General features: G+C 43.5%; 1 long non-coding RNA gene across 1 annotated transcript, besides 1 other annotated feature; it reads left to right on the top strand.

The window, feature by feature from the left end:
* Positions 575-1,074: an enhancer, noted in NCBI's record as "H3K4me1 hESC enhancer chr6:167315271-167315770 (GRCh37/hg19 assembly coordinates)". NCBI's record gives its function as "activates a minimal SCP1, AML or CMV promoter by ChIP-STARR-seq in primed H9 embryonic stem cells {active_cell/tissue: H9 hESC(primed)}" and the evidence as "EXISTENCE:reporter gene assay evidence [ECO:0000049][PMID:30033119]".
* On the top strand, positions 5,785-25,434 carry LOC124901461 (uncharacterized). The gene is made up of 2 exons (XR_007059867.1): positions 5,785-9,907; positions 25,110-25,434. It is a non-coding gene; the product is annotated as an uncharacterized LOC124901461 (long non-coding RNA).
* The last annotated feature ends 1,488 nt before the right edge of the window (positions 25,435-26,922 follow it).

Genomic DNA, 26,922 nt, shown 5'->3' with positions numbered 1-26,922 from the left:
AGGCCCCTGAATCTAACCCTGGGTTTACAGCTGTAGCCAAGAGTCAGGGAGAAGAGTGTGGAGAAGGCACAGCCGCTTCCTTGTGTCTGTGCTGGGAAGGACACCGGTCCCTCCACGCCCCACTGGCCAGCACCAGTGACAGAGCCACATCTAGTGGGTGGGCCGTGAGAAAAGAAACACTTCAGCTGAATTAAATTTAAAAGCATGTAATTGAGCAATAAACAATTTGCGAATCAGGCAGCCTTCTAAGCCAGAGTAGACTCAGAGACTCAGGCGCAGCCGCATGATGGAAGAACGCACCCTGTGTGTTCACCCGGCGTTCTTCCCTCTATGCGATTGCACAGCGTTTTCCCCAGTGTGTATTTACCCGGCGTTCTCCACCCTGTGTGATCGCCCAGCGTTCTCCCCTGTGTGTGTTCCCCTGGCGTTCTCCCCTCTGTGCATCCACCAGGCGGTCGCCCTTCTGTGTGTTCCCGCGGCGTTCTCCCCATGTGTTCACGTGGCGTTCTCTCCCCTGTGTGTTCCCACGGCGGTCTCTTTACTCTGTGCGTTCCTCGGCATTCTTTCTCCTGTGTGCGTTCACCAGGGGTTCTCCTTTCTTTGTGCGTTCACATGGCATTCTCCACCCTGTGCGTTCGCTCGGCGTTCTCCCCTCTGTGCCTTCACCAGGTGTTCTCCCTTCTGTGTGTTCGCACTGCATTCTCCCTTCTGTGTGTTCACGTGGCGTTCTCTCCCCTGTGCGTTCAAACTGCGTTCTCTTTACTGTGTGCGTTTCCCCGGCGTTCTCCCCGCGTGTGCGAGTTCACGTGGCGTTCTTTCTTTGTGCGTTCACATGGCGTTTCCCCACTGTGCGTCCCTGTGACGTTCTTCCCCCTGTGTGTTCGCGCGGCGTTATTTCCCCTGTGTGCGTTCACGCGGCGTTCTCCCCGCTGTGTGTTCACACGGCGTTATTTCCCGTGTGTGCATTCACGCGGCGTTCTCCCCCCTGTGCTTTCACGCGGCGTTCTCCCTGCTGTGTGTTCACGCGTCGTTATTTCCCGCGTGTGTTAGGGCGGCGTTCTCCCCGCTGTCCGTTCAACTTACGTTCTTCTTGCTGAGCGTTCGCGTGCCGTTCTCCCCACTGCGTGCTCGCGCGGTTGTGTTTCCCGTGTGTGTTGGCGCAGCATTCTCCCCTCGTGCGTTCACTTGGCGTTCTGCTGCTTGTGCGTTCACCTGGCTTTCTCCTTTGTGCGTTCACCAGGCGTTTTCCCCCTTGTGCGTTCACCTGGCATTTTCCTCCCTCTGTGTTCTCCCGGCGTTCTCTCCCCTGCGCGTTCCCACGGCCTTCTCTTTACTGTGTGCTTTCCTCTGGCGTTCCTACCCCCTGTATGAGTTCACCTGGCGTTCTCCTTCCTTTGTGCGTTCACATGGCGTTTTCCCCGCTGTGCGTTCACCAGCGTTCTCCCCTCCCGCTGTACGTTCACCAGGCATTCTCCCCCTTGTGGGTCCGCGCGGTGTTCTCTCCCCGTGTGTGCTCACCAGGCGTTCTCCTCCCTTTGTGTTCACACGGAGCTCTCCCCTCTGTGTGTTCACCCGGGGTTCTCCCCTCTATGCGTTCACGCGGTGTTTTCCCCAGTGTGTGTTTACCCGGTGTTCTCCCCGCTGTGTGATCGCGCAGCGTTCTCCCCCGTGCGTGTTCCCCTGGCGTTCTCCCCTCTGTGCGTTCGCCGGGCATTCGCCCTTCTGTGTGTTCCCGCGGCGTTCTCCCTCGTGTGTTCACGTGGCGTTCTCTCTCCTGTGCGTTCCCACGGCGTTCTCGGTGTTCTCTTTACTGTGTGCGTTCCCCTGGCGTTCTCGGCCCTGTGTGCGTTCACTCAGCGTTCTCCTTTCTTTGTGCGTTCACATGGCTTTCTCCTACCTGTGCGGTTGTGCGGCGTTCTCCCTGTGCGTTCACCTGGCTTTCTCCTTTCTTTGCGCGTTCACCAGGCGTTTTCTCTTGTGCGTTCACCTGGCGTTCTCCTCCCTGTGTGATCTCCCGACGTTCTTCCTCCAGCCCCCACCGTGTGTTCAGGTTGCGTTCTCTCTCCTGTGCGTTCCCAAGGCATTCTCTTTACTCTTTGCGTTCCCCAGGCGTTCTCCCCGCTGTGTGCTTTCACGCTGCGTTCTCCCCTTTATGAGTTCGCGGGTTGTTCTCCCCACTGTGCGTTCAACGCGGCATTCTCCCCTCACTTTGCTTTCAAGTGGCGTTCTCCCTGCTGTGCGTTCGCGCAGTGTTCTTCCCCGTGTGCGTTCACGTCGCGTTCTCCACGCTGTGCGTTCGTGCGACGTTCTCCCACCTGTGTGTTTGCTCGGCGTTATTTCCCGTGTGCTTTAGCGCGGCATTTTCCCCCTGTGCGTTCACCTGGCCTTCTCCCTCCCGTGCATTCACCAGGCGTTCTCCCCGCTGAGCGTTCGCGCGCCGTTTCCCTCCTGTGCCTTCACCCGGAATTCTCTACCCTGTGCGTTCGCGTGGGCGTTCTCCCCCGTGTGTGTTCACCCGGCATTCTCCCTTCTGTGTGTTCGTGCGGCGTCTCCCCCGTGTGTTCACGTGGCGTTCTCTTCCCCGTGCGTTCACCGGCGTTCACCGGCGTTCTCCAACCCCGTGCATTCAGCAGGCGTTCTCCTCTCCGTGCGTTGACCTGGAGTTCTCCCGCATTGTGTTCACGCGGAGTTCTCTCCTCAGTGTGTTCTCCTGGCGTTCTCCCCCGGTGTGTTCCCGTGGCGTTCTCTTTCCTGTGCGTTCCCATTGCGTTCTATTTACTCTGTGCGTTCCCCTGGCTTTCTCCCCCACGTGTGTGCGTTCACGCAGCGTTCTCCGTTCTTTGTGCCTTCACATGGCATTCTCTCCACTGTGCGTTCCTGTGGCGTTCTTCTTTCTGTGCGCTCACTGGAGGTTCTCTCCTGTGTTGAAATTCTAATCCCAAGGTGTTAATACCAGCACCTTGGGATTAGAATTTCAACACAGGAATTGGGGGGACAAGGGACAAAATGTTGATTCCATATCAGGGTAAAGCCCTGGCTGGCTGCTTAGGTCATAATCACTTTGGGACTCCATGCTCGATGTGCGTTCAGCTGGCGTTCTTTCCCCTGTGCGCGCACCCGGCGTTCTCCCCCATGTGTGTTCATGTGGAGTTATTACCCGTGTGTGTTAGCGCGGTGTTCTCCCCACTGTGCATTCACCCGGCGTTCTTCCTCCCCTGCGTTCACCAGAAGTTCTTCCCAGGGAGCGTTCACGTGGCGTTCTGCCTCCTGTGCTTTCACCCGGGGTTTTCCACCCTGTGCGTTCACGAGGCATTCTCCCCCGTGTGCGTTCACGAGGCATTCTCCCCCGTGTGTGTTCACGTGGCATTCTCCTCTCTGTGCGTTCACCAGGCCTTGTCCATTCTTTTTGCGTTCACCTGGCGTCCTCCCCCATATGCGTTCAAGTGGCGTTCTCCACACCCCCCGCCGCCCCGCCACCCAGTGCATTCACCGGCGTTCTCCCTACTCTGTTACTCTGTGGTTCAACCGGCATTCTCCCCCTCTATGAGCGTTCACCTGGCGTTCTCCCCGTTGTGTGCGTTCAACCCGCGTTCTCCCCGCTGTGTGCGTTCACCCGGCGTTCGCCCACCTGTGTGCATGCATCGCCCTGTGTACGTTCACCAGGCGTTCTCCCCTCTGTGTGCGATCACCTGGAGTTCTCCCCGCTGAGTACGTTCATCCGGTGTTCTCCCCTCTGTGCGTTCACTGGGCGTTCTCCCCACTGTGCGCGTTCACCCGGCATCCTGCCCTCTGTGTGCGTTCACCGGGCGTTCTCCCCCCTGTGTGCGTTCACCCGGCGTTCTCCCCGCTGTGTGCGTTCACCCCGCGTTCTCCCAGCTCTGTGAGTTCACCCAACTTTCTCCTTACTTTGTGCATTCACCCGGCATTCTCCCGACTGTGTGCGTTCACCCGGCGTTCTCCTCTCTGTGTGCGTTCTCCTGGCGTTCTCCCACCTGTGTGCGTTCACCCGGCGTTCTCCCCTCCATGTGCGTTCACCTGGCGTTCTCCCCTCTGTGTGTTCACATGGCGTTCTCCCCGTTGTGTGTGTTCCCGTGGCATTGTTCCTGTGTGTGTTCACCTGGCATTCTGCCCCAAGTGTGTTCAAATTTCTCTGTTCTCATTAGGACACCAATCATTGGCTTAGGGCCCACCCATGTGCAGTATTCCTTTATCTTGCTAAATCTGAAAGATCCTATTTCCAAATAAGGTAACATGTACAGGTAGGGCGTGGTCCTGAGTTTGGGTGTTAGAGCACTTACTCAATGCCAGTGTTTGTCGTTCCTGTCTGTGTTTGGGGGTATCTGAGTGCTCACATCACATTTTATCTCCTACCAGTGAGCCTCACAAGCCCAAGGCTTTAAAAAGACAGAGGCATATTGCCCTAACGATGCTTTAACTCTGCTTCAATTGCCCATTTTTTCCCTCCAAGCAGAGGCCATCCTTTTAGAAGTAAATGAGCGATAATGATGCAAATGGAAGAATGTTGTCGATATTGTGTTTTCTTTTCTTACACAGCAGGTAGACCTTCAGCAGACACTTTTTTATTTTATTTATTTATTTATTTTGCAGTTGCAAGATCTAATAGTGAAAACAGAGCTCCCATACAAAGGGAGGGGACCCAAAGAGGGTAGCATTTGCTAGCTCAAATGCCTGGGTTCATGTCCTGATCATTGTCCCTCCTGCTGTGCTCTCAGGCAATAGATGATTGGCTATTTCTTTACCTCATGTTGTTGCATAATTAGCATTTTAGTGAGCTCTCTTTACTATCTGATTGGTCGGATGTGAGCTAAGTTGCAGGCCCCGTGTTTAAAGGTGGAAGCCATCACCTTCCCAGCTAGGCTTAGGGATTCTTAGTCAGCCTAGAAAATCCAGCTAGTCCTGTCTCTCAGTACCCCCTCTCAACAGGAAAACCCAAGTGCTGCTGGGGAGGTTGGCCGACAACCGCTCTAACTGCTTCCTGCTGAATTGGGGCATAGTAGGGATGGTGCAGTTGAGATTTCCTCGGGAGGGGTGCCTTCAATGTCATTAACATCAGAGCATGGGCTAGCAGGCCGGTCCAGGGGTCCACGGTAGATCTTAGTCATGGACTGCATCTGGGGCACCATTTGAAGAACGATTTGTAGTTTTACAGCTTTGATTCTGGAAGAGACAAACTTAACAAGGAGGTTAAAGATACAGGGATTGAAATGAATGGCCTGCAGTGCAGGGGATTATTTCTTTGGCACAGTTTACAGGCCTTGACTATCTGCTTGATAGTTTTGACAAGGCCTGGTCCAGTAAATAATGATTTGGCCACCTGATGGGTGCTATTAATGCCTAAGTGAAAGGTTTGGTGAAGGGTTTTAAGTAATTTCATTGGTTAGCTGCAGGCAAAAGTATTTTTCCTTCTTCGGTGGCTAGCCATGCTGAGGGGAGGAAACTATGTCCTCGTGAGGCTCCCCATTCTATTTCTTCTTCTGAGTACTGGGGCTTGGTTTCCTGGAGTGGATTACCCCATACTAGGGGTCCTTCTATAAGCATTTCTAATGGAGTGTCCGGCCTTGTGGCTCTTTTGGCTTTAATATCCGCTTGGTGGTTCCCTTCTATTTCCTTTTCCTTTCCTTTCTGATGACCCCAGCAGTGTAAGACTGCCACCTCTTTAGGTTTCTATACAGCCAATAATAATCTCCTAATGGCTTCCTGATGTTTGAAAGGTGTTTCCTCGGAAGTTAGGAATTCCCTTTCTTTCCATAGTGCTGTGTGGGCATGGAGGACTAGGTAAGCATACTTAGAGTCTGTATATATATTTACCCTTTTTCCTTCTCCCAATTCTAGTGCCCGAGTGAGGGCTATTAGTTCTGCCAGCTGAGCACTAGTTCCTGGAGTGAGGGGATTACTTTCAAGTATTCTGTTATCACTGACCACCGCATAGCCCACTTTTCGAAGTCCTTTTTCTACAAGGGAACTTCCATCAGTATACAAGTTGAGGTTGGGATCAGTCAAGGGAACCTCTAAAAGGTCCCCTCGAGCAGCACAGGTTTGAGGAATTACTTGTTGACAGTTATGTTCTATCTTTTCTTCATTGTCTGGAAGAAATGTGGCTGGGTTAACAGTACTGGCCCTTCAAGTAATAGAGCCTGATAGTTAAGTAAACAGTTGTCTGACAGCCACAAGTCTTCTTTAGCAGTGAGTATGTCATTCACGTCATGAGATGTCCATACAGTAAGATCTCTTCCCTGTATTATTTTAACTGCTTCAGACACTAATACTGCTACTGCCGCCACTACCCATAAACAATGAGGCCAACCCTTTGCCACTACATCAATTTCCTTATTCAGGTATGCCATGGGTTGCAAGCTCATCCCTCGGACCTGTGTAAGGACTCCTAGAGCGATTCCTGTTTTTTCTGTGGCATATAAAGAAAAATCTTGCCCTGTTGGCAAGCTGAACACTGGGGCTTGGGTTAGGGCCTTCTTTAGGGCCTGGAAAGCCACTTCTGTTTAGGTGTCCATCTTACTAAATAGGTATTGGCTTTCTGAGTTTCCTTAATTAGTGTATATAATGGTCTGGCTATTTTGCTGTACCTGGGAATCTGTTTTCGGCAGAAACCTGTTATGCCAAGGAACCCTCTTAGTTGCTTTAGGGTTTTGGGATGAGGATAAGCCAGTATAGGCTGGATACGTTCCTCACTGAGGGCCCTGGTGCCTTTGGATAATTTTAGCCCTCAGTATCTAATCTGCTGTGAGCAGAGCCGAGCCTTTGGTTTGGAAACCTTGTAGCCACAGGTAGTGAGGAAATTTAAGAGTTCTTGGGTGGCTTGATGGCACAAGGTTTCTGAACGGGCGACTAAAAGTAAATCATCCATGTACTGAAGGACAAGAGTGTCCAGGTATGAGAATTGGCTCAAGTCTTGGGCTAATGCCTGGCCAAATAGATGGGGGCTATCCCTGAACCCTTGGGGTAAAACAGTCCAGGTGAGTTGACAGGTTGTGTTTGAAGGATCTTCAAAGGCAAACAAGAATTGAGAGTCAGGATGTACAGGGATGCAGAAAAAGGCATTCTTAAGGTCCAGGACTGTAAACCACTCTGCTTCCTCTGGTATTTGGGAAAGCAGAGTATAAGGGTTAGGTACAGCTGGGTATAGAGGGACAATGGCCTCATTGATAATCCTGAGCTCTTGTGCAAACCTCCACTGTCTGTTGGGTTTCTCTACTCCTAAAATTGGAGTATTGCAGGGGCTATTGCATGGTTTTACTAGGCCTTGGGCTTTTAGGTCCTTAACAATCTTTTGGAGTCCTTGTTGGGCCTCAGGTCTAAGGGAGTACTGCCTTTGGTAGGGAAAGGAGGCGGAATCCTTTAGTTTAACTAGAACAGGATGGGCATTCTTTGCTCGTCCATATTGTCCTTCTGTTGCCCAGACTTCAGGATTAATTCCTTCCTCAAGCAGGGACAACAAATGGGTGTTCCTTCTCCTATGTTCAGGTGTATAATGGCCCCTGCTTTTGCTAGAATGTCTTTCCCTAACAAGGGAGTGGAGCTTTCAGGCATAATTGGAAAAGCATGAGAAAAGAGTAAAGTTCCCCAGGCACAACTTAGTGGCTGGGAGAAGTATCTAATGACTGGCTGTCCTAGGACCCCTCGGAGAGTGACAGATCTGGAGGACAGTTGTCCGGGACAGGAGAGTAAGACTGAGAAGGCCGCGCCAGTGTCCAGGAGACAGTTAACCTCCTGGCCCTCAATGGTCAAGCATACCCGAGGCTCTGTGAGGGTAATGGCATGGGCTGGTGCTTGCCCCGGTACCCTCAGTCCTGCTGCTGGATCATCTGGTTAGTGGCTTCTGACTCAGAGGACCTTCATCCCCTGGGGCAGTGGGCCTTCTAGTGATTCCCTTGACATAATGGTGGACGAGGAGGCAGCTTATTTCTACTTGGATGATCTTTTTTAACGTGTGCTTGTAGACCGCACTGGAAGCAAGCCCTGTTAGGCATTCGATTTTCCCAGCTTTTCCTTTTCCAGAGCCTCCAAAGTCCACTTGCCTGAGGGCCATGACTAAAGCAGTGGCCTTTTTAAATCCCGTTTGTCCTGTTCCGCCTGCTCCTCCTGATCTCTATTATAAAAAACCAAGGTTGCCAAGTTCAATAGGGTTTCTAAGTTTTGCTCTGGGCCTAAGGCGGACTTTTGAAGTTTTTTTCTAATGTCTGCAGCTGACTGAGTGATAAACTTATCCTTTAAGATTAGTTGGCCTTCAATAGAGTCAGGTGACAGAGAGGTATGCTTCCTCAATGCCTCCCTTAGTCTCTCCAGAAAAGCAGTAGGATTTTCTTCCTTTCCCTGTGTTATAGTGGACATCATTGAAAAATTTGTAGGCTTCTTCCTGGTTTTCCTTAGTCCTTCCAGCACACAAGTTAGCAAATGTCTGCAGCACCAATCTCCATGTTCTGATTCTGCGTCCCAGTGAGGGTCTACACTGGGAACTGCCTGCTGGCCTGTGGGGAATCATTCTCTTTCCTCTGTTATCATCCTATCATTGACCTGACTGAGATACCAGAGATCGCCAAACTCTCAGGCTGCAGTTATGGTGGCACTTCTCTCATTTGGGGTTAACGTCTGATTTAGCAGTAACATTATATCTCTCCATATCAGATCGAAGGATTGTCCTAACCCCTGTAAAACATCAATATAGCCATCAGGGTTATCTGAGGATTTACCTAGGTCTATTTTAATTTGCTTTAAGTCCGAGAGAGAAAAAGGTACATGCACTCTGGCTGGGATGAATTCTCCTCCTCTCACTGCTTGGAGGGGGCATAATCGGGGAATATTGGCACCTTTGATTCATTGTTTACCCCTTTGTCTATCTCCTTTTGGACCGTTTGGGTTCAAGGGGGGTCCTTATTAGTTGGGGGAGGAGTTGGGGGGATGGTGGGGTAGGGAGGTAGACTCTGAAGGCTTCTTGTAGGGCATAAATCACACTTTTTACATAATTGCGAGTTGTCTCTTAATGAAAAGAAAGTTTGTACATATGGCACTTCACTCCAGTTGCCTTCTTTTTTACAAAAGAGTTCTAGCTGTAAGATGGTGTTATAATTTATACTTCCCTCCAGAGGCCAGGTTTCTCCCCCTTGAAGAGGATATCGTGGCCAGGCGGTACTGCAGAAGAAAATGAGTCATTTCTTTCTTAGCATCTGAGGGTCAAATTGGTCCCAATTCTCCAGAATACATCTTAGGGGCATTTTTGCCTTGGGCGGAACATTTCCTATCTGAAAAAAGAACTGAGGGATGCCAGCACCCCTAGTCATTTTCCGATGTGCATTAATCTTAGAGTGTCCGCTGTGGTCCTAATGCTTATTCCTTTCCAGGGTGCGTAACCACCCATGGACCTCGGCTTATCGGATTAGTTATGCTCACCGAAGTAGCAGTCTTGCACCCTTTTCCTGCCTTTCTTGACCACAAAGAAAGGGGTCCAGGCTGCTGGATTCTAGTGGTCCTTTACCAGCGTACCCAACATTGCCTTTGTGCTCAGGGGTGAGTCCTAGAGCTGGGCTGGGTTCCTGAGTATTTCATAACAACCCAGCTTCCCCATCAAGATGCATTCCCATAAACAACAGTTCTTATGCAAATTCATTTCAGAGAGGGTGTAGGTAACCTTTTGAGTCAGGATTGAGATAGTCTTTTTTGATTCTGTGAGTACTTTAAGGCTTGGCTGAGTGCAAACGGCTCGCACGTTTGAGGAGACCAATTATTAAGCAATTTTTCTAACTCTGCTTCCACAAGAGTCTCCCTACCAATTACTGAATGCCCATTGTGGTTTTTTCCTCAGTCACCAGGGAAGAACCATCTACTGTCCTGTCCTGAAGGGAGTTCCTCCTAGATCTGGTCGGACCTTTGTATGGTAATTAAGATTTAAATCCTTTGTTGGGAAATCTGCTGGGTTAATGGGATTATCAGTGGTTGGTGTTAAATTACCTTTTTCTAACAGAAAAGCCGCATGCTTTAAGATTTTTGAGTTAGTAAGCTACCTTTTTGCTTTTTTGACTTAGAATAATTCTGAACTGATTAGGTGTGCTCACAATGAGGTTTCCTCTAAACGTCACTTTTCTACTTTCTTCTGTTAGCAAAGCAGTTGCTGCTACAGACTGTATGCATTTGGGCCATCTGCGGGTCACTGAGTTGAGGAATTTTGATGGGAAGGCTCCTGGTTGTTAGCGGTCTCAGTGTTTTCAGGCTACGCCCTTGTTTACACTAACAACAAGGTAGTATTGGAGTGTTATAGGGTCATGGAGAAGACCTTCAATTATCAATTACAGGTTTTAAATTTACCCTGGCTTTTAAAGGAATAGGGCACACTGTTTTTTACTATTTCTATCTTTCTCTGTTTTTTTCTCTTTGACTCCCTCTTTCTCTCTCTCTCTCCTCCATCTCTCTCTCTCTCTCCCTCCTCTGTCTCTCTCTCTCCTCCATCTCTCGCCTTCTCTTAGCCATTACAAATTTGGGGCCCTGGCAAGGGTGGTGGGGAACGGGTCCAACATAACTGCCCATGTCGAGAGCTGTATACTTAAATCGGGTGGGACACCAGGGATAACACTTCCTGGGTTTGTAGCCTAGATGCCTAAGAACACAGCGTAGAGCTTCCTTAGATCCCTTTGGAGTTACAACTTGCCAGAGGAAATGAAAGTCTGAACCATTAGTACCTAGGAGGCAGGGATCAGAGGAAGAAGATTCAGAGGTAAGGAGAATTTTGGGGCTACACTTTCAAGAACGTCGTGGTTGGGACCCAGGATGTATGGGTCAGAAGGAAAGGTAGGGGTGCATGCATGGGCAACTGTTGAGGAGAGACTTCTGGCTGCACCATGATCTCAACTGGCTAATGCCGGGAGTTCGGGATGACAGCTTTCTGCCTCTAGTTGGCCCCTGGCTTCCCCAAGAAAATTGAAAGTGGAAGCTGGCTCCAGGCAGACCAATGTCCCCAACCCAGAAGGGTTGGGGGTTGTTAGAAAGCCCTTCCCCAGATAGCCTCACACCTGAGTCCTAAGTCTGGACATAGGCATGGCATGTCCTATGTCCTAGGCTATATGCCTAGGACATAGGCATATAGCATGGTTAAAAAGCCATGCTAATGGTTTTTAACTGGCCGACAGGTGCCCGGTATTTTCCTCCAATTCTAAGGAAGGATAGGACAGAATAGCAAGTGAAAGTGGTCCAGTATTACCACTTTGGAGGTCCCTTCATGGTCACCAAAATGTTACCAGGGGGTCCTTGCTCACAGAGCTCCCAAGGTGGTGGCTGGCTGCTTCCAAAATGGCGGTGGGCTGCTTCCAAGATGGTTGCAAGCCTCGTGTTCTCTGACCTGGGGTTCTTGGTCTCACGGATTCCAAGGAATGGAATCTTGGGCCATGTGGTGAGTGTTATAGCTCTATTAGAAGCCGTGGGTCACAGAAGAGAACTGTGGAACCCAGTGACTAGTGTTCAGCTTGATTAGGACGAACCCGGACACTTAGCAGTGCAGGAACAATGGCAAGCCTTTTTAGCCTGATCAGGAGCGGCAATGGGCACCTCGCTGGATCAGGAGCACAGCGGACACCCTGCAGGATCCGGAGGGATGGAAGTCAGCGGCGGGTCTGCGACAGCAGTAGTGGACAGCGAGTGAAAGCTCAGCTCAAGCCGACACAAACATAGACCAGAAGAGAGTGCAGTTGCAAGATTTAATACAGTGAAAACAGAGCTCCCATACAAAGGGAGGGGACTCAAAGAGGGTAGCCCTTTTTTTTTTATTTTTAATTTTAGGACTAATTCTTTTCCTGGAGGGTGTTTGTTGGCAAGTAGAACATAGGGATCTCAGTTAAATTTATTCTTTTTTTTATACTTTAAGTTCTAGGGTACATGTGCACAACGTGCAGGTTTGTTACATATGTATACATGTGCCATGTTGATGTGCTGCACCCATTAACTCGTCATTTACATTAGGTATATCTCCTAATGCTATCCCTCCCCCCTCCCCCCACCCCACGACAGGCCCTGGTGTGTGATGTTCCCCACTGTGTGTCCAAATGTTCTCATTACTCCATTCCCACCTATGAGTGAGAACATGCGGTGTTTGGTTTTCTGTCCTTGTGATAGTTTGCTCAGAATGATGGTTTCCAGCTTCATCCATGTCCCTCAGAGGACATGAACTCATCCTTTTTTATGGCTGCATAGTATTCCATGGTGTATATGTGCCACATTTTCTTAATCCAGTCTGTCATTGATGGGCATTTGGGTTGGTTCCAAGTCTTTGCTATTGTGAATAGTGTCGCAATAAACATACGTGTGCATGTGTCTTTATAGCAGCATGCTATATAATCCTTATTATGTATACCCAGTATATAACCAGTGTATACCCAGTAATGGGATGGCTGGGTCAAATGGTATTTCTAGTTCTAGATCCTTGAGGAATCGCCACACTGACTTCCACAATGGTTGAACTAGTTTACAGTCCCACCAACAGTGTAAAAGTGTTCCTATTTCTCCACATCCTCTCCAGCATCTGTTGTTCCCTGACTTTTTAATGATTGCCATTCTAACTGATTTGAGATGGTATCTCATTGTGGTTTTGATTTGCATTTCTCTGATGGCCAGTGATGATGAGCATTTTTTCATGTGTCTGTTGCCTGCATAAATGTCTTCTTTTGAGAAGTGTCTGTTCATATCCTTCGCCCATTTTTTGATGGGATTGTTCGATTTTTTTCTTGTAAATTTGTTTATGTTCTTTGTAGATTCTGGATAATTAGCCCTTTGTCAGATGCGTAGATTGTAAAAATTTTCTCCCATTCTGTAGGTTGCCTATTCACTCTGATGGTAGTTTCTTTTGCTGTGCAGAAGCTCTTTAGTTTAATTAGATCCCATTTGTCAATTCTGGCTTTTGTTGCCATTGCTTTTGGTGTCTTAGTCATGAAGTCCTTGCCCATGCCTATGTCCTGAATGGTATTGCCTAGGTTTTCTTCTAGGGTTTTTATGGTTTTTAGGTCTAACATTTAAGTCTTTAATCCATCTTGAATTAATTTTTGTATAAGGTGTAAGGAAGGGATCCAGTTTCAGCTTTCTACATATGGCTAACCAGTTTTCCCAGCACCATTTATTAAATAGGGAATCCTTTCCCCATTTCTTGTTTTTGTCAGGTTTGTCAAAGATCAGATGGTTGTAGATGTGTGGTATTAATTCTGAGGGCTCTGTTCTGTTCCATTGGTCTGTATCTCTGTTTTGGTACCAGTACCATGCTGTTTTGGTTACTGTAGCCTTGTAGTATAGTTTGAAGTCAGGTAGCATGATGCCTCCAGTTTTGTTCTTTTTGCTTAGGAGTGTCTTGGCAATGCAGGCTCTTTTTTGGTTCCATATGAACTTTCAAGTAGTTTTTTCCAATTCTGTGAAGAAAGTCATTGGTAGCTTGATGGGGATGGCATTGAATCTATAAATTACCTTGGACGGTATGGCCATTTTCACAATATTGATTCTTCCTATCTATGAGCATGGAATGGCCTTCCATTTGTTTGTGTCCTCTTTTATTTCGTTGAGCAGTGGTTTGTAGTTCTCCTTGAAGAGGTCCTTCGCATCCCTTGTAAATTGGATTCCTAGGTAATTTATTCTCTTTGAAGCAATTGTGAATGAGAGTTCACTCATGATTTGGCTCTCTGTTTGTCTGCTATTGGTGTATAGGAATGCTTTTGATTTTTGCACATTGATTTTGTATCCTGAGACTTTACTGAAGTTGGTTATCAGCTTAAGGAGATTTTTGGCTGAGACGATGGGGTTTTCTAAATATACAATCATGTCATCTGCAAACAGGGACAATTTGACTTCCTCTGTTCCTAGTTGAATACCCTTTATTTCTTTCTCCTGCCTGATTGCCCTGGCCAGAACTTCCAACACTATGTTGACTAGGAGTGGTGAGAGAGGGCATCCCTGTCTTGTGCCAGTTTTCAAAGGGAATGCTTCCAGTTTTTGCCCATTCAGTATGATATTGGCTGTGGGTGTGTCACAAATAGCTCTTATTATTTTGAGATACATCCCATCAATACCTAGTTTATTGAGAGTTTTAGCATGAAGGGCTGTTTAATTTTGTCAAAGGCCTTTTCTGCATCTATTGAGATAATCATGTGGTTTTTGTCTTTGGTTCTGTTTATATGATGGATTATGTTTATTGATTTGTGTATGTTGAACCAGCCTTGCATCCCAGGGATGAAGCCAACTTGATCATGATGGATAAGAGTTTTGATGTGCTGCTGGATTTGGTTTGCCAGTATTTTATTGAGGATTTTTGCATCGATGTTCATCAGGGATATTGGTCTAAAATTCTCTTTTTTTGTTGTGTCTCTGCCAGGCTTTGGTATCACTATGATGCTGGCCTCATAAAATGAGTTAGGGAGGATTCCCTCTTTTTCTATTCATTGGAATAGTTTCAGAAGGAATGATACGAGCTCCTCTTTGTACCTCTGGTAGAATTCGGCTGTGAATCCATCTGGTCCTGGACTTTTTTTGGTTGGTAGGCTATTAATTATTGCCTCAATTTCAGAGCCTGTTATTGGTCTATTCAGGGATTCAACTTCTTCCTGGTTTAGTCTTGGGAGGGTGTATGTGTCGCGGAATTTATCCATTTCTTCTAGATTTTCTAGTTTATTTGCATAGAGGTGTTTGTAGTATTCTCTGATGGTAGTTTGTATTTCTATGGGATTGGCGATGATATCCTCTTTATCATTTTTTATTGCATCTCTTTTCTTCTTTATTAGTCTTGCTAGTGGTCAATGAATTTTGTTGATCTTTTCAAGAAACCAACTCCCAGATTCATTGATTTTTTGAAGAGTTTTTTTTTTGTGTCTCGATCTCCTTCGGTTCTGTTCTGATCTTAGTTATTTCTTGCCTTCTGCTAGCTTTTGAATGTGTTTGCTCTTGCTTCTCTAGTTCTTTTGATTGTGATGTTAGGGTGTCAATTTTAGATCTTTCTTGCTTTCTCTTGTGGGCATTTAGTACTATCAATTTCCATCTACACACTGCTTTAAATGTGTCCCAGAGATTCTGGTATGTTGTGTCTTTGTTCTCACTGGTTTCAGAGAACATCTTTATTTCTGCCTTCATTTCGTTATGTACCCAGTGGTCATTCAGGAGCACGTTGTTCAGTTTCCATGTAGTTGAGTGGTTTTGAGTGAGTTTCTTAATCCTGCGTTCTAGTTTGATTGCACTGTGGTCTGAGAGACAGTTTGTTATAATTTCTGTTCTTTTACATTTGCTGAGGAGTGCTTTACTTCCAACTATGTGGTCAATTTTGGAATAAATGTGATGTGGTGCTGAGAAGAATGTATATTCTGTTGATTTGGGGTGGAGAGTTCTGTAGATGTCTATTAGGTCCGCTTGGTGCAGAGCTGAGTTCAATTCCTGGATATCCTTGTTAAATTTCTGTCTCTTTGACTTGTCTAATGTTAACAGTGGGGTGTTAAAGTCTCCCATTATTATTGTGTGGGAGTCTAAGTCTCTTTGTAGGTCTCTAAGGACTTGCTTTGTGAATCTGGGTGCTCCTGTATTGGGTGCATATATATTTAGGATAGTTAGCTCTTCTTGTTGAATTGATCCCTTTACCATTATGTAATGGCCTTCATTGTCTCTTTTGATCTTTGCTGGTTTAAAGTCTGTTTTATCAGAGACTAGGATTGCGACCCTTGCTTTTTTGTGTGTTTTCCATTTGCTTGGTAGATCTTCCTCCATCCCTTTATTTTGAGCCTATGTGTGTCTCTGCACGTGAGATGGTTCTCCTGAATACAGCACACTGATGGGTCTTGACTCTTTATCGAATTTGCCAGTCTGTGTCTTTTAATTGGAGCATTTAGCCCATTTACGTTTAAGGTTAATATTGTTATGTGTGAATTTGATCCTGTCATTATGATGTTAGCTGGTTATTTTGCTCATTAGTTGATGCAGTTTCTTCCTAGCATTGGTGGTCTTTAGAATTTGGCATGTTTTTGCAGTGGCTGATATCTGCTGTTCCTTTCCATGTTTAGTGCTTCCTTCAGGAGCTCTTGTAAGGCAGACCTGGTGGTGACAAAATCTCTCAGCATTTGTTTGTCTGTAAAGAATTTTATTTCTCCTTCACTTATGAAGCGTAGTTTGGCTGGATATGAAATTCTGGGTTGGAAAGTCTTTTCTTTCAGAATGTTGAATATTGGCCCCCACTGTCTTCTGGCTTGTAGAGTTTCTGCTGAGAGATCTGCTGTTAGTCTGATGGGCTTCCCTTTGTGGGTAACCCGACCTTTCTCTTTGGCTGCCCTTAACATTTTTTCCTTCATTTCAATTTTGGTGAATCTGACAGTTATGTGTCTTGGAGTTGCTCTTTTCGAGGAGTATCTTTGTGGCCTTCTCTGTATTTTCTGAATTTAAATGTTGGCCTGCCTTGCTAGGTTGGGGAATTTCTCCTGGATAATATCCTGCAGAGTGTTTTCCAACTTGGTTCCATTCTCCCCGTCACTTTCAGGTAGACCAATCAGATGTAGATTTAGTCTTTTCACATAGGCCCATATTTCTTGGAGGCTTTGTTCGTTTCTTTTTACTCCTTTTTCTCTAAACTTCTCTTCTTGCTTCATTTCATTCATTTGATCTGCAATCACTGATACCCTTTCTCCCCCCTGATCAAATTGGCTACTGAAGCTTGTGCATTTGTCACACAGTTCTCGTGCTATGGTTTTCAGCTCTGTGAGGTCATTTAAGGACTTCTCTACACTGTTTATTCTAGTTAGCCATTCGTCTAATCTTGTTTGAAGGTTTTTAGCTTCTTTGCAATGGGTTCAAACATCCTCCTTTAGCTTGGAGAAGTTTGTTATTACTGATCGTCTGAAGCCTTCTTCTCTCAACTCATCAAAGTCATTCTCCATCCAGCTTTGTTCCATTGCTGGTGAGGAGCTGCATTCCTTTGGAGGAGAAGAGGTGCTCTGATTTTTAGAATTTTCAGCTTTTCTGCTCTGGTTTCTCCCTATCTTTGTGGTTTTATTTACTTTTCGTCTTTGATGATGGTGATGTACAGATGGGGTTTTGGTGTGGATGTGCTTTCTGTTTGTTAGTTTTCCTTCTAACAGTCAGGACCCTCAGCTGTAGGTCTGTTGGAGTTTGCTGGAGGTCCACTCTAGACCCTGTTTGCCTGGGTATCACCAGTGGAGACTGCAGAATGGTAAATATTGCAGAACGGCAGATGTTGCTACCTGATCCTTCCTCTGGAAGCTTCATCTCAGAGGGGCACCCTGCTGTATGAGGTGTCAGTCGGCCCCTACTGGGAGGTGTCTCCCAGTTAGGCTACTCAGGGGTCAGGGACCCACTTGAGGAGGCAGTCTGTCCATTCTCAGATCTCAAACTCTGTGCTGGGAAAACCACTACTCTCTTCAAAGCTGTCAGACAGGGATGCTTAAGTCTGCAGAAGTTTCTGCTGCCTTTTTTTCAGCTATGCCCTGCCCCCAGAGGTGGAGTCTACAGAGGCAGGGAGGCCTCCTTGAGCTGCAATGGGCTCCATGCAGTTCGAGCTTCCCGGCCACTTTGTGTGTCTCTGCACATGAGGTGGGCACTTATTCACGGCCGCTGAGACTACTCAAGCCTCAGCAATAGCGGATGCCCCTCCCCCAGCCTCCCTGCTGCCTTGCAGTTTGATCTCAGACTGCTGTGCTAGCAGTGAGCAAGGCTCCGTGGGTGTGGGACCGCCCCCACCAGCCAGGCACAGGATATAATCTCCTCGTGTGCCTTTTGCTAAGGCCATTGGAAAAGCACAGTATTAGGGTGGGAGTGTCCTGAATTTCCAGGCACCATCTGTCACGGCTTCCCTTTGCTAGGAAAGGGAATTCCCCAACCCCTTGCGCTTCCTGGGTGAGGCAATGCCCCGCCCTGCTCCATGGGCTACACCCACTGTCTGACAAGCCCCAGTGAAATGAACCCAATACCTTAGTTGGAAATGCAGAAATCACCCGTCTTCTGCGTCGCTTACGCTGGTAGCTGCAGACTGGAGCTGTTCCTATTTGGCCATCTTGGAACCTCTATGCTTGTATTTCTTTACCTCGCCCTATTGCACTGTCTAGAATCACTCGGAGAATGTTGGGTAGACACGGTAAGAAGAAGCATCCTTGCCTTTTCCTTGACTTAAGGGGAAGCATATAATAATTTACGTTTCAGCTGTTTTTACTTATAACATTTCTGACACCAAGGTATGGGGTTTTTGCTTCATACCAACCAATTCTCTGATTCTCTGGACACCAACTGTGAGTTCAACAATCCAATTCAATTCTGACATTAACCCCTTGGAGTTAGTGCAGACCCCACAGCTCAAAGGCTCGATCCGCTTCCCCCCACTTCAGATGCCAGTCACAGGTTGAGGGCTTCCTGAACTTCTGATTGACCAGGTAGAAATTGAGGATTCCCATGACTCCTTCTGCAGGTTTGATAATTTGGTGGAAATTACCAGTTATTATAAAGAATACACCTCAGGAACTGCCAAATGAAAGAGCTGCACAGGGCAGGGTATGGAGGAAGGGGCAGGAGCTTCCATGTTCCCTCTGGATGCGCCACCCTCCCAGCACCTTGATGTGTTCACCAACCTGGAAACCCTCCCAACTGTCATTTAGGGTTTTAATGGAGTCTTCATTATGTAGGTATGATTGATTAAATCATCAGCCAATGGTGATTCGCACAGTCTCCAACCCCTTTTCCCTTTCTATAGGTTGAGAGACAGGCCTGAGAGTTCTAAGCTTCTAATCAAGGCTTGGTCTTTGTAGCAACCAGTCCCCATTCTGAAGCTACCTAGGGGACCCCAGCTACCAGGCATCTCATTATCTTACCAAAGACAATGACTCTTTTAGAAATTCCAAAGGTTTCAGAAATGCAGGCATTGGTGGTATAGTGGTGAGCATAGCTGCCTTCCAAAGGTTTCAGAAGCTTTTTGTGAGGAACCTAGGGCATTTCATTTATTTATTTATTTACTTAATTGATTATTTTTTAATTAAACCATAACCATTAAGGATGTTATTAGCTGTAGATCTTTTCCAGATATTTTTTAGTAGGTTGAGAAAGTTCAGATCCATTTCAGGATTTTTGAGAGTTTGTTGTTTTTTAAATCATGAACAGGCATTGAATTTTGTCAAATGCTTTTTTGGCACCTATTAAAACAATTGTATTGCTTATTTTTTTCTAGTAATATTAGAAATGACTTTTTAAAGATGTCATCTGCTAATATGGTAATTAATTGTAAAATGTTAAACCAACTTTGCATTCTTCACGTAAAACTTACTTGATAAAACCTACTTCTTTTGACATATTCAATTTATACTTGCGAGTGTTTTCTTAAGAAAATTTGTGTCTATGTTTATCAGTGTTACTGGCCTGTAATTTTTGTAATGTCTTTGTCAGGTTTTGATATTAATATTAGACTTGACTCATGAAGTAAATTGGTCATGTTTTCTCCTCTATTTTCTGAATTTAACATGTTTACATGAAATTTATATTACTTTTTTCTAGAATGTTTGACAGAATTCACCCAATATCTAGCCAGTTGAATTAATGTTGGATATTAATTCAATTACTTTAATAGATATAGAGCTATGTAGATTTTCTGTTCATCTGTGTCAATTTTAAAAGTTGTATTTTTAAGGAATTTATCTGTGTCATCTAATTTACAGAAATTATTGGCATAAGGTTGCTAATAGTACTCACTGTCCTTTTGGTGTCTATAGGATCTGTAGTGATAACCCCTCTTTCATTCTTGATTTTCACAATATGTATTATCACTCTTAAAAATCAGTCTAACTATGGACTTATCAATTTGCTTAATTATTTCAAAGAACTAGCTTTTGACTTTGTTGTATTGTTTGTCTACAAATTTTACTTACGTCTGCTCTTAGTTTTATCATTTTCTTCCTTTTGTCTACTTTGGGTTTTCTTTGTTCTTCTTTTTCTAACTTTTTAAAGTCAGACCTCAGATCGTTGATCTTATATCTTCTTTTTTAACACAAGCATTTAAAGGTATAAGTTTTTTTCTGAGAATTGTTTTGTAACTTCCCACATATTTTGATATGTTGATTTATATTTTTATTAGATTTAGAATATTTTGTAATGTCTACTGTATTTTTTATGTGATCCGTGAACTATTTAATTTTTAATTTCTATATATTTGGGGTTTTCCTAGATATTTTTCTGTTTAATTCAGCTGTGCTTAGAAAACATACTTTGCATAATTTCAATCCTTTTAAATGTAATATGATTTACTTATTGCCCAGCATAAGACTGTATTTCTTGTGTGCATGTATAAAAAAGTGTGTATTTTGCTAACAGTGCCTCCTGGTAGAACATTCTAAAAATATCAGTTTGATTGATATTTGATCAAATTGATATATAGATTTTAAATTGGTTGATAGTATTATTTGTCTTCTATATTCATTACTAATTCATTACTAATTGTCCACTTGTGCTATCAATTAATAAAATAAGACTTTTGAAAGCTCCAACTGTAATTGTTGGTTTGTTTATTTTTTCTTTCAATTCTGTTTTTACTTTATGTATTTTGAAGCTTGTTATTTGGAACATAAATATTTAGGATTTTTATATATTCTTGATTTTGCTTCTCATGGATCTGTTTATCATTATGAAATATCCAGTTTTATACCTGGTTAAATTCTCTGTACTGAAACCTATTTTATCTAATATAAATACAGTCACTCCATTTCCTTTGATTAATATTTGCATGACATATCTTTTTCTATCCTTTTACTTTTAACCTATTACTTACCTTTGTATTGGCTTTGTATATAAAGGAGGTGTTTTGTAGACAGCATTTACTTGAGTCTTGCTGTTTAATCCAATTTGACTGCCTTTGCTTTTTAATTGGAGTGATTAGACCATACTATTATCTGAATGTTTTTTTCCACCACCAAATTCATAGGTTGAAACATAAACCTCAGTGTAGTGGTATTAAGAGGTGCGGCCTTTGAGAGGTGATTAGGTTATAAGAGAGTCACTCTAATGAATGGGATTAGTGCCCTTATAAAAGAGGCATGAGAGAGCTTCTACCATGTAAAAACACTGCAAGAAGGTGCCATATGTGAAGCAGAGAGTGAGATCTCCCCAGACACCAAATTTCTTGATCTTAGACTTCTCAGCTTCCAGAACTGCAAACAATACATTTCTGTTGTTTTAAATTATCCTGTCTTTGAATAAACTAAGGGATACCATGGACATTTAATGTGATCATTGACAACTTTGGGTTTAAATCTAATATTTTCTATTATTTTATATTTTTCTTATTTGTTCTTTGTTCCTTCCACCCCTCTTTTCCTTCCTTGTTTTTTTGGAATAATTGAGTATTTTATGACTCAGCTTTAACCCTACTATTGGCTTAGTAATTGTACACCCTATTTTTATAATAATTGCTCTAGCAATATTACATTATAACTTCAAAGATTATTATAACATTTCATACTTATTGAAATGTTTGGTCCTTACAAGAAATACTTCCCTTTCTTCCTTCCTATCCTGTTTGCTATTATTGTCTATATTTGCTTCTATATGTTATAGATGACACAATATGTTATTATTTTTCTTTTAATTAGCATTAAGATATTTTAAAAATTAAACAATCTTTTCTATTGATTTACATACTCATTTTAAATTACTTTGATTTCTTTTCTAGGTTTGAATTACTGTCTGATGTCTTATTTTCTCTTTCTGAAGAACTTTCAATTCTTTTTTTTTGGAGGAGATATTTATTAACTTTTATTTTAGGATCAGGGTACATGTGCAGGTTTCTTATATAGGTAAATTGCATATCATGGGGGTTTGGTGTACAGATTATTTAGTCATCCAGGTAGTAAGCATAGTACCCAATAGGTAGTGTTTTGACCCTGTCACTCCTCCCACCCCCCCACCTTCCAGTAGGGCCCAGTGTCTGTTTTTCCCTTCTTTGTGTCCATATGTACTCAACGTTTAGCTCCCACTTATAAGTGAGAACATGCAGTATTTGGTTTTCTATTCCTGCTTTAGTTCACTTAGGATTATGGCCTCCAGTTCCATCCTTGTTGCTGCAAAGAACATGATCTCATTTTGTTTATGGCTATGTAGTATTCCATGGTGTATGTGTGCCACATTTCTTTTTTTTCAGTCTACTATTGATGAGCATTAGGTTGATTGTATGTGTTTGCTATTGTAAATAGTGCTGAAAGAACATATGCATGCGTGTGTCTTTATGGTAGAATGATGTGTATTTCTTTGGGTGTATACCCAGTAATGGGATTGCTGAGTTGAATGGTACTTCTGTTTTAAGTTCTTTGAGAAGTTGCCACACTGCTTTCTACAATGGCTGAACTAATTTACATATCTACCAGCAATGTATGCATTCTGTTTTTCTCTGCAGCTTTGCCATTTATAGTATATGTACTATATATTATAAATTGATTCTTCATAGTATATGTGCTTTGGCAAGTTTTGTTTGTCTGAAAAAAGTTATTTTACTTTCATTTTAGAAAGATATTTTTCTGCATATAGAATTCTAGGCTGACCTTTTCCCACTACTTTAATACTGCCATACCACTGTTTCTTTTTTGTTGTTTTTTTTTTGTTGTTGTTGTTGTTTTGGTTTTTTGGTTCTTTGCCTTACATAATTTCAGACAAGAAGTCTGCTGTAATTATCTTTGCTTCTGTATATACTTTTTTTCTTCTGGTTGTTTTTAAGATTTTCTTTTCTTGATGGTTTATGGAGATTTGACCGTGATATGCTATTTTTTTTTAATGTGTAGTACTTTGGACTTCTTAGATCTGTGAATTTACAGCTTGTTATCAAACTTGAAAAAATTTTAGCCATATTTTATTAAATATTTTCTTGTATCTCCTCCCCTTTGCTCCTTCTGGGTCTCCAGTTATTCCTGCCTCTTACCACTTGATATCGTCCCAGAGATCATTGTTGCTTTGTTCATTTTTTTTCAGTCTTTTCCCCTCCTTCTTTTATTTTGAATAGTTTCTATTGTTATGTCTTCAAAATGTATAGATATTTTCTTCTTCAATGTCTAGTCAGCACTTAGTTTCATTCAGTGTGTTTTTCATTTCAAATAATTTATTTTCATATATAGACATTTCATTTGTTTTTTATATTTTTGGTTCTTCTGCTCATCATGTTTAAGCTTTTTAAACATGATATATATATTTATATTTATAATAGCTATTTTAATATATTTTCTATTACTTCTGTCATCTCTGTCATTTCTGAGTGTTTCTTTGAGTGATTTTTCTCCTGGTTATGGATCATATCTTCTTGTTTCTTTGGATGCCTAATAATTTTTGACTGGGTGCTGAACATTTTAAATTTAACATTTTTGGGTACTCAATTTTGTTGTATTATTTTAAATATTGCAGAACTTTGGGATGCAGTTTAGTTACTTGTAATTATTTTAATCTGTTCAAATCTTGCTGTAAGGCTCTGTAGCATGGGCCCATGGCAGCCTTAGTCTAGGGCTAATTTATTTCTATTACTAAGGCAATGTTCTTTTGAAGATTCTACTGATGCCTTATGTATTGGGTGGCTTTTAACTCTGGCTGGTGAAAACAAACTATTCTCATCCCTGTGTAAGCTCCAGGGATTGTACCACCTACTCCTTTACAATGATTCTTTCACTTGCCTTTGTATTTTCTTCATATACATGCTCAGATCATTATCAGTCACACTTTCAAGGGCACCTCTCTTCCTATTTCTGGAGCTCTATCCTCCTTGGTTTTTATCCCACAGATTCTAGCTGCTTTGGACTCCCTAAACCCCAAACTCTGTCACCTCAATTCAGGGGGACCACCAGGCTCTGTTTGGGCTCTGCTTCTTGCCCTGTCACCTAGAAACTCTATCCAGGCATTGATATAGGACAACGTTAGGGCTTACATTATCTGTTCCCTTTCTCCCAGATGAGATTTCTGTCCTGTGTTGAAATTTTAAATGTCTAGCATCCAATAAAAAAATTAACAACTATGCAAAAGAAACGCAGAAAAATATGACTCATATCCATTGTTTTATATATTTTGGAAAATATATTTATTTTATATATCTTTTTGTTTAAGGCAGGAGGACAAATCTAGCACTCTTCCTTCATCACAGCCGGAAATAGAAGTCTCTGAGTATGGGTTTTCAACTTGTGTTTTAGTTGTGCCGTACTGTGACTATGACTAAGAATTATATAATGAAAAACTCACAATGTGATATTCCTTTCTTTTAAATTGTGTCTCCCTTGCAAATCTGCCTGCCTTGGTATACTCTCACAGCTTTCAGGTAGTTGTTTTGTATTTTTTACTTAGTCAATGATTATTACTTTCAGGAGGTTTGGTCTATTAGAGATGAAACCAAACTATATTATTATTTTTGTAGGTAATTTAATCCTTAACAGGATCCCTACTGGTATTTTCAACCAATGTAAAAATATCTTCTCACCTTTCTTCTTAATGCTCTGGTTCTTTCTAGACTGTCCCCAGGCTGGGTCAATCCTGAAATCTTTCCTAGTTAACCCATCTTACCATCTTCCACACCATTTGGTCCAGTTACATATCTCTTGCCTGACCTACTCTATCTAGCCCTGTTGTCAAAGGTATTTGAATCAGGGCAACTCCATCTTGAAGAGGGGCTGGGAAAAATGAGGCTGAGACTTGGGCTACATTCCTAGGAGGTTAGGCTTTCTTACTCACAAGATATTTGTGGTTAAGGGAACAGACATTGCGACCACTTGGCATACAGTCCTACCTTAAAGGGCATTTGATCTGTAAACCAAAAATAAAATTCTAAGCACCTGAACCATCTGATGGACCCTCCCCTCAGCCAAGGGCATTCCAAAGTTAACCTGAAAAACTAGTTCAGGCCATGAGGGAAAGTGGGGGTTAGACATGCCTCGTTATGTACACCTCCCAGTGGAATTCAGGCACAGATGACCAGCATTAACATTAAAACAGAGACTTTAAGACTGATAGAAAAGACTTTTTAAGTCTAATAAGAAACATTCTCTTCTATTGATTCTGTTTGCATAAGGGGAATCTTGTTCTCTACAACCGCTTATCTTAACCCAGACATTCCCTTCTATTGATTCTAGGTCTTTAGACAATCACTTAACTCTTTCAATCAATTGCCAATTAGAAAATTCTTGAATCCACCTATGACCTGGAGGCCCCTGCTTCAAGTTGTCCCAGCTTTCCAGACCAAACCAATGTAGGTTGATCGATTGATGTCTATGTCTCCATAAAAGGTATGCAACCAAGCTGTATCCTGACCACCTTGTGCACATGTTCTCAGCATCTCCTGGGTCACAGAATATTGATGAGTCATATTCGGCTCACAATAAATCTCTTCAAATGTTGTACAGAGTTTGACCCTTTTTGTTGACAGATCATTCTGTAATAAAAGCAGCTTTCAAGTTATAATGTAATAATTCATATTATTAATTTATTAAGCAAATTTCCAGGTACTTTGCAAGTGTTAGAGATAAACATTTTAAAAACAAAAGTCTCTATTCTCAAATCCTGTAATTTTAGGCCAGAAGAGTGAACAGGTGGGAGTAAAGCATCAGAGAACAAATGTTGCATTAAGTATAGTATCTGTAGGCAATTGTTCTAGAGGCCCTCATAAAGTGCAGTGTGGATTTAAGAGAAATGTTGCATAAATCTCTGCATGGGGGTCAGGGCTCTGCATACAACTGTGTAGGCTGTACACAGGGCAGTGCTGAGCACCACTGACATTGTAGCCCTCTAGAGTTGTGCACTGTAATACCTGCACAGCCATACACAATGGCGTTGAAAAAAATACTGGAAAGCCTCCAGAAGAAGCAAATGTTGAGATAAAAGTTGATGGATGAGTAATCATTTGCCAATAATGATAGAACAAATTAATATTTGTATAGTTAATTGTGATATTCAAAAACTCCTTACCCTCACAAGTATATTTGATCCCTGCGTCAATTTGGTGAGATTGATAGAGGTGAAGGATCTCTGTCACTCTATACCCAGCTGATGTTCCCACTCACGAGGTGGCAGCAAGCCATGAAGACCAGCAACTGGGAACAATGCTTTTTCGGCCCAGTAGAGCCCACTCCTCCCCACTCATGCCAGGTGTTCCATGCACTTAGCTCCCTGCCCTTCGGAGCCACAGAGCAGCTTTCGGGAGGCGTTTGGCATGCCCTTCCTTCCTGGGCTCTGGGTTTATGTCATTCCTTGGTTTCTGTGCTGCTCGTAGCTTAAGAGGGAAACATTCCTTCTGCCAGCTCAGCCCTGGTGGTAGGGAAATTCATTGATCACCCTGGGGCTGTGGTATTAGACACATGTGGTTGATGTTGTTGTTGATGATAATGCTAATACTCTTATTTCTGTGGAGGAAAGAGAAGGTCAGAGAAAGGAAGCCACCCACTTAGATCACATGCTAATGAAATCGCGGAGCCAGGGTGTGGAGTTTTCAGTCATTTTACTCCAAGCCCTGTGCTCTTCCCCATACCTGGACTTAACACCTTCCCTTTATTCACGTGGTTACGTTTGTATGTCAAGTCATCGCCTCAAATGCTGGCCGCTGGCTTCCCTATCCTTTTAGCTCTTGTGAGTATCGTGTTCTAGTCTGCTCTTGTTCTGATCCGACTCAGTTGAATCTAGTTGTGTGTGAATGTGTGTGTGTGTGTGTGCGTGTTTTCTATCCTCTTGAAAATTTCCTCCAAGTCTACAAAGTAATGCACATTTCTGGCTTCTCAAAAACACCACGGATTTCAGGACTGCTCTTACATTCCACCTGATTGTCTTGAGCTGCTTGTTGAGGACATGATTTGCTAGCCTGCAGTTGCCTCCTCATTTCTCACAGCCCTTAGCTCAGATGGCAACAGTTAAATCACAACCAATAATGCAATAAAAAAACGAGTCTATAATTCA

This window comes from Homo sapiens, chromosome 6, assembly GCF_000001405.40.
Source record: "Homo sapiens chromosome 6, GRCh38.p14 Primary Assembly".
Taxonomy (NCBI): domain Eukaryota; kingdom Metazoa; phylum Chordata; class Mammalia; order Primates; family Hominidae; genus Homo; species Homo sapiens.
Note: the sequence above shows the minus strand (reverse complement) of the source record. Positions and strands in the feature narration are given on the sequence as shown.